The sequence below is a fragment of the Homo sapiens genome, chromosome 5, assembly GCF_000001405.40.
Source record: "Homo sapiens chromosome 5, GRCh38.p14 Primary Assembly".
Lineage (NCBI taxonomy): Eukaryota > Metazoa > Chordata > Mammalia > Primates > Hominidae > Homo > Homo sapiens.
Genome location: NC_000005.10, coordinates 176,544,138 through 176,556,315, shown reverse-complemented (window position 1 = coordinate 176,556,315; position 12,178 = coordinate 176,544,138). Strand labels below are relative to the sequence as shown.

General features: G+C 53.5%; 1 protein-coding gene and 1 pseudogene across 2 annotated transcripts in view, besides 2 other annotated features; one reads left to right on the top strand and one right to left on the bottom strand.

Annotated features, from left to right (window-relative positions):
* Positions 1 to 12,178, bottom strand: part of CDHR2 (cadherin related family member 2) — a 53,464-nt gene that overhangs the window by 39,659 nt on the left and 1,627 nt on the right. Inside the window, exon 1 of one of the 2 annotated variants that reach the window (NM_017675.6) lies at positions 6,902 to 6,974. The exons of the other annotated variant lie outside the window; for it this stretch is intronic. The gene's annotated coding sequence lies outside the window, so the exon portion shown is untranslated. Of the gene's footprint in view, positions 1 to 6,901; positions 6,975 to 12,178 lie in introns of those variants that run through there. 2 annotated transcript variants of the gene reach the window in all.
* Positions 3,487 to 4,120: an enhancer, noted in NCBI's record as "H3K4me1 hESC enhancer chr5:175979197-175979830 (GRCh37/hg19 assembly coordinates)". NCBI's record gives its function as "activates a minimal SCP1, AML or CMV promoter by ChIP-STARR-seq in naive H9 embryonic stem cells {active_cell/tissue: H9 hESC(naive)}" and the evidence as "EXISTENCE:reporter gene assay evidence [ECO:0000049][PMID:30033119]".
* Positions 5,769 to 6,702: an enhancer, noted in NCBI's record as "H3K4me1 hESC enhancer chr5:175976615-175977548 (GRCh37/hg19 assembly coordinates)". NCBI's record gives its function as "activates a minimal SCP1, AML or CMV promoter by ChIP-STARR-seq in naive H9 embryonic stem cells {active_cell/tissue: H9 hESC(naive)}" and the evidence as "EXISTENCE:reporter gene assay evidence [ECO:0000049][PMID:30033119]".
* Positions 8,590 to 8,883, top strand: RN7SL684P (RNA, 7SL, cytoplasmic 684, pseudogene; annotated as a pseudogene).

Sequence of the window (12,178 nt, the reverse complement as noted above, 5' to 3'; positions counted from 1 at the left end):
CTCAGGGCAGCCTCAGACTCCTGGGCTCAAGCGATCCTCCCATCTCGGCCTCCTAAAGTGATGAGATTACAGGTGTGAGCCACCGTGACTGGCCTATTTGATATTTTTAAAAATTAAATGCCCATATTGCTGTGATAAGGTGAGCACTGTTATGCGGGAGTCCCAAGTAGCACAAACAATATGAGAGATGGCCTGGGCCAGGGAAGAACCAGGTGTATTCCAGGAGTTCAAAGAAGGTCCCTGTGGCTGGGTTGCAGGGAGAGAGGTGGGGAATCATGGGAGGGAGGCAGGTTGAGAAATCTGGCAGGGCCAGAGCATGCTCCACCCTATGAGACACAGGAAGGATGTTTCATTTTATTCTAAGAAAAACAAAAAACAGTAGGTCATTTCAGAGGGGGTTTTTTTTGTTTGTTTTGAGATGGAGTCTTACTCTGTCTCCCAGGCTGGAGGGCAGTGGGGCGATCTCGGCTCACTGCAACCTCTGCCTCCCGGGTTCAACCGAGTCTGCTGCCTCAGCCTCCCGAAGGATTACAGGCGTGAGCCACCACACCTAGCTAATTTTTTTATTTTTAGTAGAGATGGGGTTTTGCCATGTTGGCCAGGCTGGTCTCGAACTCCTGACCTCAGGTGATCCACCCACCTCGGCCTCCCAAAGTGCTGGGATTACAGGCGTGAGCCATCCACTGCACTTGGCCCATTTCAGAGTTTTAAGCAGGGGAGTGGCAGGCAGTAATTTCCTCTTAAGACCTTTCTGGCTGCTGTGTGTCGCCGGGCTGAACTGGGGGCAGCAGGGCTGGAGGGGAGGCAAGAGCAGGGCTATAGTTTGGAGGCAGAATATTTGGGATTCATAGAATTTCATCTTCACAGCAACTCATTTTGCAGATGAGCAAACAGGCTCTTGCTGGGAGTGTTCCGCTGAGGCCCTCACAGCTGAAAGTGAGTGGGATTCACAGCCACTCTCCGATCCCAAGGCCCTCGCCTCTCCCTGAGGCAGGGAGAAGGAGGCAGGCCTCCCGTGGCCCCAGGGCCCTAGCAAGAGGAGAAAACCCCAGTTCAGATGTGGACCCCAAAGCTTCAAAATGTTTGCCCTGTTGACCTACTCATCCAACTAACATAGAATAAGAAGCTCTTTTTGCAGAAAGTTGTTGACCGTGAGTGATTATTTATAATCATGGGAAGCTGGAAGTGACCGTAACATGAAACACAGGCAATGATGTAGAAAGATGTGGACAAGCCCTGGGTGGGATGTTTGGCAACCGTTAAACATTACAGCAATGAATAGCAAGAGACTCGTGGAGGAAGCACCTCCTGCCTCTCAGAACTTGAGCCGGGCACTACGTAATGCTCACAAAATCCCTTCGAGGCTGGGTGTGGTGGCTCACACCTGTAATCCCAGCACTTTGGGAGGCCAAGGCGGGCAGATCACTTGAGGTCAGGAGTTCAAGACCAGCTTGGCCAACATGGTGAAACCCCGTCTCTACTAAAAATACAATAATTAGCTGGGTGTGGTGGCACGTGCCTGTAATCCTCAGGAGGCTGAGGCCAGAGAATGGTGTGAACCCGGGAGGTGGAGGTTGCAGTGAGCCGAGATCGTGCCACTGCACTCCAGCCTGGGAGACAGAGCGAGACACTGTCTCCAAAACAAAACAAAACAAAAACAAAAACAAAAAACCCTTCTAGATTGGTACCATTCTACCCACTTTACAGATGGGGAAAACAAAGCTCAGAGAGGTGAAGAGCCTGGCTTGAGTTTACAGAGTCAAGGAGCAGCAGAGCTTCGCTGGGCAGTTCACTGCCCTTCTCTAAGCGTTCCCTCCCCTGTGAGAATAATAACCCCACTAAGTGATGAGGGTAGGCAGCGGGGGATGAGTGGGAATAAGAATGTGCCACCTCAGCGCCTGGCACACAATAGGCGCTCAGCAAGTGCAAACCTTCTTCCTTCCGTGGGGTTGTCCTCACCTTATGGCTGCTCCTCCCACTGCAATCACCATGGAAACAGCTTCCTCCCTCCCTGGTGACCATCCACGCTCCCCAGGGTCTGAGACTGCTTGCAGAGGTCAGAGCTAAATGGGCAGGGCCAGGGCTGTGTGTGGAGGAGCCCTGGGGCTGTTTCTCATGCTACCTTCCATGTGACTCTAGCCAGGGGAACCTTGGGAAGTTGCTGTGGAAAATGCTGGCTTGCCAAGAACCCCGGAGATGACAGCTGGGGACAGCCCACATGCTGAACGGCAGGGCTGCACTCAGCCAGACTGATAAATACAGATGTGCCCCACCGCTCAGGGGAATTAGTAAGTTCTCAGTCCTCAGAACCCCCAGCAGTGCTGAGCCACAGTCCTCAGTGAGACAGGGACAGCGATGTGGGTACAGCTACACCCTGGAGAGTGACATCATAGCGCTGGAGTCAAGGGCAGTGAGTGAGGTGGTCATGGAGGCAGGGTCCAATATCAGGATAGGGATCCCTCGGGGGTAGGGGTGGCACTGGTGGTGGTAAGTAGGGACGGACATGCTGATGATGTGTGTGCTGATGAAGGTGGAGACGCAGGTGGCGCTGGTGGAGGTGACAGTTGGGGGAGGGAGATGGTGGTGGTGGCGGGGCTGGCGGTGGAGACGCAGGTGAGCTGGGCATTAGCGGTACTGCTAGACTGCAGGTGTCCATTGTGTAAGGAACAGCCAGGGGCTGGATGCGTCCAGCCCAGGCATCCCTCTGAGGCTGTAACCTGGAACCTACCTCCCTCCTCACTTTTTTCTCTCATGTTCTGTCCTTCAGAAATGAGTCAACTGCCACGGGACAATTAGTCACTAGGTGTGCAGCCAGCAGGTATCAAGATGGATTCATCATCATTACAAAGTTCCCCTGGGTCCAGCCTGCAGGACAGGAGATTCCTGCCCTCAGGGTCCCTCCTCCCAGTCCCAGAGGAAAATGGGAACTGGCAAGGAAGGGCCGTGTACCGAGGCTAGCACTTTGCCCCCATTACCATTTAGTCCTCAGCAAACTGACGTCCAAGAGGGGAAAGGGCGCGGCCCAGCCAGTAATGGGCAGAACCCAAGCCAGGCCTGTGCCTTCTCTCTTTTCTAGGCTCCTGGGTTTTCCTTCTTGAGCTGCCCGATTTTCCCACAGGTCATGCTGAGCCCACAAACATGTGATGTTGAGAGAGAACAGCCCGAACCAGGACCTTCACCCAGTCCCCGAGGCGCCTCCCCCTACAGCCCCTTCCCCATACACGCCACGCTTCTCCCTCATGGAAGTGTCTCCCAACTCCCCCCTCCCCATCTCACAGGGCAGGATGGAGGGCCTCAAGAAGCCTGGGGACCCTCACTCAGAGCAACAGCGATGCCCCTTTGCATTTGTGTGATGCACGCACAGTCTCTCCCCTGCATGTGGGCCCAGCCATCCCCCTGGAAGGAAGAGCTGGATTCATCAATCCCCTTTATGCACACAGACATGAGTGCAGGAGGCCAGGGTTCCTGCCCAGCAGCTCCAAGGCTGTCAGCGGCAGAGTGGGGGTGCCACCCTGTCTGCCTCCCAGGCCAGTGCTCTTTCTTGCCTCATCCCTGCCTCGCCTGCCTCCTGCTCTGCTGGGGTTGGCCCCGGGTTTCTCGCAGTCCTGCCTCCTCATGATCATGATGAGGCTGGCGTTCTACAGTCCAGAGCATCTGCCTCTGGATTCAGTCACTTGGGGAAAAAGCACAGTGTCTGTGTGGGCTGGCGAAGGCGCAATAACGGCCTGCCCCAATGCTAAGCCTTCCCCATGATAGGTCACTCCCAAGCTCAAATCTCCTCCATGGCTCCCACTGGCTGCAGGACACACTGCCTGCCCCTCAGCCTGACAGGCGAGGTCCTTGGAGGTCCTGGGTCTTGCTTTTTCCACACGAGCTGCTCTCTCCCACTCCTGAGGTCCAGTGGTGTTGAATGCTCCTGTTCTCGGTCCACACCCTGCATTGTCCTTCCTCCATTTGCCTAAACCATTCCCTCTGCCCAGAATGTCTTTCTTTGCCTTCTGCCTACATGCAAATCCTCTCCATTCTGTAAGGCCCAGATCAGCTGTGGAGCTGTGTTCAGGCAGTTGGTGGCCCCCACTCTGGGCTCCTCATTTCCTGGTACCCCAGCAAGGGGCAGGAGCAAGGCACAAATGGAAACCGAGTGAATGGAGTTGCCCCTGGGCTGGGACTTGCGGACAGGCACCCGCTTTTCCCTGCTGGGGCAGCCTCAGGCCAACGCATGGGTGTGAAACAAGGTCCCAGTCACTGCACAACCGTACCCCTGGGCTCTTTTCTCTGTTTGCTCCTTTTAAAAATGGGAACTATTAACCGGGCGCGGTGACTCACGCCTGTAATCCCAGCACTTTGGCGGGCCGATTACGGGGTCGGGGTCAGGAGATCGAGACCATCCTGGCTAACATGGTGAAACGCCGTCTCTACTAAAAGTTCCCCAAAAAAAAAAAAAATATTAGCCAGGCGTGGTGGCGGGCGCCTGTAGTCCCAGCTACTTGGAAGGCTGAGGCAGGAGAATGGCGTGAACCCGGGAAGCGGAGCTTGCAGTGAGCCGAGATGCCGCTACTGCACTCCAGCTTGGGTGACAGAGCGAGACTCTGTCTCAAAAAAAAAAAAAAAAAAGAGAACTCTTGGCTAGGTGTGGTGGCAGTCCAGGCCAATACCAATAGTTCTCATTTTTTAAAGGAGCAAACACAGTCCAGCACTTTGGGAGGCTAGAGTGGGAGGATCACTTGAGCCCAGAAGGTTGAGGCTGCAGTGAGCCGAGATCGCGCCACTGCACGCCAGCCTGGGCGACAGAGCAAGACCTTGTCTCAAAAAATAAAAATAAAATAAAGTAATTTAAAATGGGGACTATCTATATTCCAGAAATTACTGCTTCCTTGTTCTCAAGCCCTCCGGCCACTACTGTTGTTTCCCTGCTCTCAAAAAATGCCTGGACCAGCCTGACCAACATGGTGAAACCCTGTCTCTACTAAAAATACAAAAATTAGCCAGGCATGGTGGCGCACACCTGTAATCCCAGCTATTCGGGAGGCTGAGGCAGGAGAATCACTTGAACCAAGGAGGCAGAGGTTGTGGTGAACTGAGATCGCACCACTGCACTGGAGCCTGGGCGACAAGCAAGACTCCATCTCACAAAAAAAAATTAGCCAGACGTGGTGGCGTGCACCTGTAATCCTAGCTAGTCAGGAGGCTGAGGCAGGAGAATCGTTTGAACCAGGGAGGCACAGGTTGCAGTGAGCCGAGATAGCGCCTTGCACTCCAGCCTGGGCAACAGAGTGAGAATCCGTCTCAAAAAGAAAGTGCTTAGGGAAGGACCAAAAAGGACACAGAGAAGAATCAGGGAGACTCTGGCCCCCACGCCATGAGATGTGTAGTCTCCAGGAATCCTCACTGGTCCCACCTGGCCCAGGAGGTGCCAGCTCTTCAGCCTTGGCTGAGAGGAGGCTTCAGCCGCATCTCAGAGCAGTCCACGGTGCCAAGATTTTCTAGAATTTGGAACCACTGGGAGTGAGGATACCCGGACTGCCCAGGACCTCCAGGAGGGTCAGGGTGGGGAGGTGGGTCCTCCTTCAGTGTGGGGAGCCCCCGGGGTGCACTCAGCCACGATGCTACAGAGCTCCCCCAGCACCGCCACCGCTACACGGCCAGCTCGCCATGCACTTTCACTTCTGCTTTTTCATTTACTTCTCACAGCTGTTCCCAAGCAGGAATTATCCTATCCTATTATTCCAAGGAAACCGAGGCTCATAGATGCCCAGAGATGGGTGAGCCAGGGGCAGCAGGTTAGACCCAGGCTGCCTCCAAATCCAGGGGTCCCTGGGCAAGCCTTGGTCTGGGCTCCGTTGATCCAGGAGGCCGTGCCTGCACCCACAGAGCGGACTCCAGCCGAGCCTGGGTGCCCGGAGCAAGGATGTGGGACCTGAGCACGCAGCTCCCCGCCACGGGCCCTCCCAGTGCCTATGGCCCAGGCCACCTGGCCCAGCAGACACATACAGACTCAAACAGCCCTGGGTTCAGATGGCAGCATTTCACATATTTGTTGTGCAACCCCAGGCAAGCCCTCTCCCCTCTCCAGGCCTCAGTTTCCCCTGCTGAGAAGCAGAGTGAGGATAAAAATCAAGGGGTCTACACACGGGCCATGACTTGTTTCCATCTGCCGGACCTCGGTGCTCACTGGGACCCTGCCTTGTGCCTGGTGCCCAACCCAGCACAGGCCTGCCTGAGTGACGCAGCATGGCCCCGACTCTCAGCTGGGTCACCACCTCCTCTACCAGGGCAGAGAGATGTGCAAGGCCCGGACTGGGCAGAGCTGGGGCCAGCCTGGGTCAGTCCCTGCCTGACACTTCCTAGCACTGGCTGAGGTGGCACTGGGCTCGGTCATAGGCCACATGCTCACCTTTGCCTCAGGGCTTTTCAGGCCCTTTCTGGAACTCTTCTCATCCCCATTTGATAAATGAGGAAACGGAGGCCCAGAAGAGTTAAGTAGCCCACCAAGGTCAGGGTGGAGCTGGGATGTGAACCGAGCAGCTGGGGTAAGAGCCCAGGTCAGCTTCCCCGTCCTCAACCCCTGAGCATCCTATGAAGGGGTCAGGCCAGTTACCTCGTTTCCCTGGGGTGCCTGCCTCCCTTCCATCCTCTGAAGAATCATCCCTTGAGGACTTGGATGGGAAGGGGGCCATCAGCCCCCAGGGAAGGAGGTATTATTATCCCATGTTTACCAAAGAAACAGGCCTCACAGCAGGCTGGGACCTGACCCGGCTCTGCCCCATCTAGCGTGTGACTTCCCCTGCCCAGCTTCAGGGGAGACTTTTAAAGACCCCCAAGCTTGCCTTGGCTCTAGGGATCCCCCCAACCCCCACATTTCTCTGGCCCAGAGACCCCCGATGAGCTGGATAGTCCCTACCTGTGTCCCCTTCGCCACGGAGGCGGCAGGCAGGCGCCGGACAGGCGCTGGCACACAGGTGGGCACCCTCTGCGGCCTGCAGCTATGTGGCCAGCAGACTTTGGCACCATCTCCACCTCCACTGAGCAATCATTAACCCTGCCAGAGACCACACCTCCCAGGAGGGGTCGACTCCTAATGAGGCAGAGTACAGCTGGGGGCGCCGGACAGGAGGAAGGGACCAAGGCGCCAGAGCTCCTGGCGCTCCTGGGGCTGGAGGCCCACACCACAGGAGAAGGGGCCTGGCCGACCCTGAGCCCAGAGGACCTGGGAACAAGGCCCAACACTGGGGCAGGCTGGAGGCGGGGACGGTGACAGTCAGAAGGTGATGCCAGAGCCCCCGTCCCCTCCCTGCTACGAGTCTTCAGTGACAGGGGATCTGTGGACAAGTGGGGGATTGAGTCAGGAGAGGGAAGTGGTAAAACAGTGTAACAATCAAACACTGTGTGGCCAGACCAGCCCCTGTGAGGTTCTCGTGGAGGACTGGGGGCTAGCTGAGCCTGGACAACCCACTTTCGAGCCTGTTGACACTGATCTCACCCCGCATTGAGACCCTCAAAAGGCATCTGCCCGTCCCCAGGGGCTTCATCCACTCCCAAGTTGCCTTTTTTTTTTAATTATTTATTTATTTTTGAGTCAGAGTCTTGCTCTGTCACCCAGGCTGGAGTGAAGTGGCACAATCTTGGCTCACTGCAATCTCTGCTTCCTGGGTTCAAGCAATTCTCCTACCTCAGCCTCTCGAGTAACTGGGATTACAGGCGTGGGCCTCCACACCCGGCTAATTTTTTTTGTATTTTTAGTAGAAACAGGGTTTCACCATGTTGGCCAGGCTGGTCTCGAACTCCTAACCTCAGGCGATCCGCCTGCCTCGGCCTTCCAAAATGCTGGGATTACAGGGATGAGCCACGGAGCTCGGCCCCCAGGCTGGCTTTAAGCGCTGCCCGATGTGGTGGCCTCCCGAAGGGGCTCAGCCACAAGTCCTTCTTATCCTCACTTTGGCCCAGCCATCACAGTTGACACAGAAAGGGGACCCTGGGCACAACTTTCTTAAGGCACACCACTGAGTCGTCACCATTGGGTGGCCCTCTTCTTGTGGGCAGAGGACATGTCTAATTCACAATAGATATATAGTCATGCACCATATATCTGTGTTTTGGTCAACAACGAACCACACATATAATAGCGGTCCCATAAGAGTATAATATCATCTTTCATGGCACCCTTTCTGTGTTTACATGCACAAATACTTACCCCTGTGTTACAGTTGCCTGCAGCGTGCGGTACAGTCCCAGGCTGCATAGGTTAGCAGCCCAGGAGCACAGGCGGTGGTATAGAGACTGGGTGTGTAGTAGGTGGTACCGCCTAGGTTTGTGTAAGTCACTGTGTGATGTTCACACAATGACGAAATTGCCTGATGACACATTTCCCAGAAGGTGTCCCCGTTGTTAAGGGTTGTGTTGACTGTATATCAGGCAGTTGCTATAGTCAGGCATTTTAATAGTTTGCTTCCCAACTCTCCAAATGTAAAACATAGTAACAAAATTTATACGCCACCAGCATAAAAAGAAGAAACCCAGATGAAGGGAAGTCAAGTGAGAAAAATAAGGGTAATCTACGCCTGAATTGAGGCCATAAAATACTTGTCTTGAGCTGGGGGCACTGCTGTGCACCTGTAGTCCCAGCTACTTGGGAGGCTGCAGCAGTAGGATGGCTTGAGGCCAGGATTTCTGTGCTGTAGGGCACTATGCTGATGGGGTGTCCACACTAAATTCAGCACTAATATGGTGAACCCCAAGGAGCAGAGGACCACTAGGTTGCCTCAGAAAGGCTGAACCAGCCCAGGTCAGAAACAGAGCAGGTCAAACTTCAGGTGCTGATCAGTAGTGAGACTGTGCCTATGAATAGCTACTGCACTCCAGCCTAGACAACAAGAGCTTCTCTCTCAAAAAATAAACAAATTATATATATATATATATTTGCCTTCAAGTTCTGGGTAATTGTAGAGATGGGTCATGAATCAGGTTCTGAGCTTCCCCCCAGGCAAAGAAAAAAGGGAATTGAGATCCATTGAGTCCAGCATCCATCCATTTTAAAACATTTGCATAGGCTGGTGGCTCGCGCCTGTAATCCCAGCACTTTGGGAGGCTGAGGCGGGTGGATCACCAGGTCAAGAATTCGAGACCAGCCTGGCCAAAATGGTAAAACCCTGTCTCTGCTAAAAATACAAAAAATAGCTGTGCACGGTGGCAGGTGCCTGTAATCTCAGCTACTCAGGAGGCTGAGGCAGGAGATTCACTTGAACCCGGGAGGCAGAGGTTGCAGTGAGCCAAGATTGTCCCACTGCACTCTAGCCTGGGTGACAGAGCAAGACTCCATCTCAAAAAAAAAAAAAAAGACCAAAAAGACCACTTTGCGTATAGCCAGGCTCTGGGAGCTATGATGCAGTTCTGAGTTTTGATACCCAAGAGGCTTTTCCTCTTTTTGAGAAGTGTTTCTGAGGAAAGGATGCTGCAGACACTGGGTAGCGCTCGATGCGACTATTACAATGCAGGGGTTAAGAGACCAGAGACCAGGCTCCTCTGGGGTCAGACTGCTGGGTTCAATTTTTTTTTTTTTTTTTTTTTTTTTTTGAGCACCATGTTGGCCAGGCTGGTTTCAAACTCCTGACCTCAGGTGACCCACCCGTGTCGGCCTCCCAAAGTACTAGGATTACAGGTGTGAGCCGCCCTGCCCAGCCACAATTTTTAATTTCATTTTATTTTTATTATTTTTTTTATCTACTGTATATTCACAATGGGTTCAATTTTGGCAGGGCAAGTTGCATAACCTCTCTAAGACGGTTTCCTTATCTGTAAGTTGCAGGTAATACATGATGCCTACCTGGGCAGGTGATGGTGAGGATGTAATGAAGTCACCCATTTGAAGTCCTGAGCACAATGCCCAACACAATAAGGTCTCAATGAATGTTAGTTTTCGTGGGGGCATGGTGGTGACTATTGCATTACTAATATCACCTCATTTAATCCTGCCAATAACTCCAGGGATGATTTTTTTCCCCATTACAGATGGGAAAATAGACCTTAGACAGATTAGATCACCACCCGAGATTACAGAAAGTGGCAGAACTGAGATATTAGCATATCTGTGCAACAATTCTTGCCCCTGACTTTCCTGCCACAGCCGTCAGATTCCTCTCTGAAGGAAGTAGGCACTAGTCATCGCTGGTGGCTTAACCAGTAAGAAGAGAGGCAGGTGACCCCACCCAAGGCTCCAGGCTCCCCGCTCTGCCTCAGACCATGGGAGTCAGCCTGGTCGCTCTGCTGTGCCCCAAATAGGGCAGACCCCAACCCAAGCCCCTGCCCCCTCTCCCTGCCCTTACGGCTGAGGCCGACAGCTCTGAGTCACTGCTCTGGTTGACAGAGGTGTGTCCTGGCCTGCCCAGACCTTTGGACCCATCACGATGAGGCACGTGTGGCCAGATGGTGCCCTGCCCATCTCGAGGGGCACCATCCACCTGCCACAAGGCAGCCTGGGAAGCACACAGGGATCTGGGCTATGACGATCCAGGTCCAGGTCTAGGTCCAGGGTTGGCTTCACGGAGCAGCAGGCAGCCAGGCAGAGTGGGACTAAGAGCCCAGGATATGGACTCAAGTGACCTGGGTCCTAATCCCCACCACCACTTACCTGCTGGGGGCTTGGGCAAGGTACACCACCTCCCACACTATTGGTGTCCTTGTCCAAAATGGGCCTAATGCAGACTCCACCTCATAGGCCTGTTCTAAGGAGTAATGATGTAATGCATGACAGCACTTAGCACAGAGTAAGTAATGGGGTGATGTGCACGAGGCGACAGTTTAGATACACATCAGGGTTCCTTCACAGCCACTGTCTGAAGTGTGTGCCTTAAAATTTTTTTTAATCAGAAAAACTTCTCGGCCGAGTGCGGTGGCTCACGCCTGTAATCCCAACACTTTTGGGACACTGAGGCAGGCAGATCACTTCAGGCCAGGAGTCCAAGACCAGCCTGGCCAACATGGTGAAACGTAGAACATGGTGAAACCCCATCTCTACTAAAAATACAAAACTTAGCCCAGCGTGGTGGCGTGCACCTGTAGTGCCAGCTGCTCAGGAGGCTGAGGCACAAGAATCGCTTGAACCTGGAGGTGGGGTGGGGGGAGATTGCAGTGAGCCGAGATTGCACCACTACACTCCTGCCTGGGTGACAGAGTGAGACTCTGTCCCCACCCCCCACAAAAAAAGAAAAGGAAAAAAGAAAACTTCTCATTACCTGTCTCTGCTATGTGCACCCACTGCATACTCAGAAATTTATCAAGTTGAAATCAAGCGTTAGCTTGCCCTGAAGTTAGGCAAGTCTCTCCTTCCCTCTGAGCCGCCATTTCTTTACCTGTAATACCTCTGACGCCCACCTAGTGCACAGCCTTAGAGGTGACCCGGAGAGTCTGGGCTGAGAGTGACTCTGGTGTGAATGCATTCAACCCCTCAACTTCCCAATCATCCCCGGAAGTTGCACTTTGCAGGGTACAAAGTCCCTTCGTTGCTCTTACAGACAAGGAACCAGCCCAAGAATATCCCCGTGATGTCACAGACTCACAGCCTCCCACCCTAGAAAGAACTCGGGGCTGGGCGCGGTAGCTCACGCCTGTAATCCCAGCACTTTGGGAGGCCGAGGCGGGCGGATCACCATGTCAGGAGTTCAAGACTAGCCTGGCCAACATGGTGAAACCCCATCTCCACTAAAACACAAAAAATTAGCCGGGCGTTGCGCCATACACCTGTAACCCCAGGTACTCGAGAGGCTGAGGCAGGAGAATCGCTTGAAACCGGATGGCGGAGGTTGCAGTGAACCGAGATCGCGCCACTGCACTCCAGCCTGGGCGACAAAGTAAGACTCCGTCAAAAAAAGGAAAGAGAGAAAGAAAGAAAGAAAATAAAGGAAAAGAAGAAAGGAAATAGAAGAAAGAAAAAAAGGAAGAAAAAAAGGAAAGAAAGAAAGAAAAGAAAAGAAAAAAGAAAGGAAGGAAGGAAAAGAAAGAAAGAAAGAAATTGGGGACCCATGAGACCAACTTCTCCCCACCCCAGAGCCTCCTTCCAGGGCACTCATTCCCTCTAAAGCTCTCCTTTAGGTGGCTGTTCTGTCAACAAACGGCAGCTTTAAAAACTAAGTAGACCCGGAGGCAGCCGCTCCACCGTCTCATCAGCCCTCCGCAGAGGAGCTAA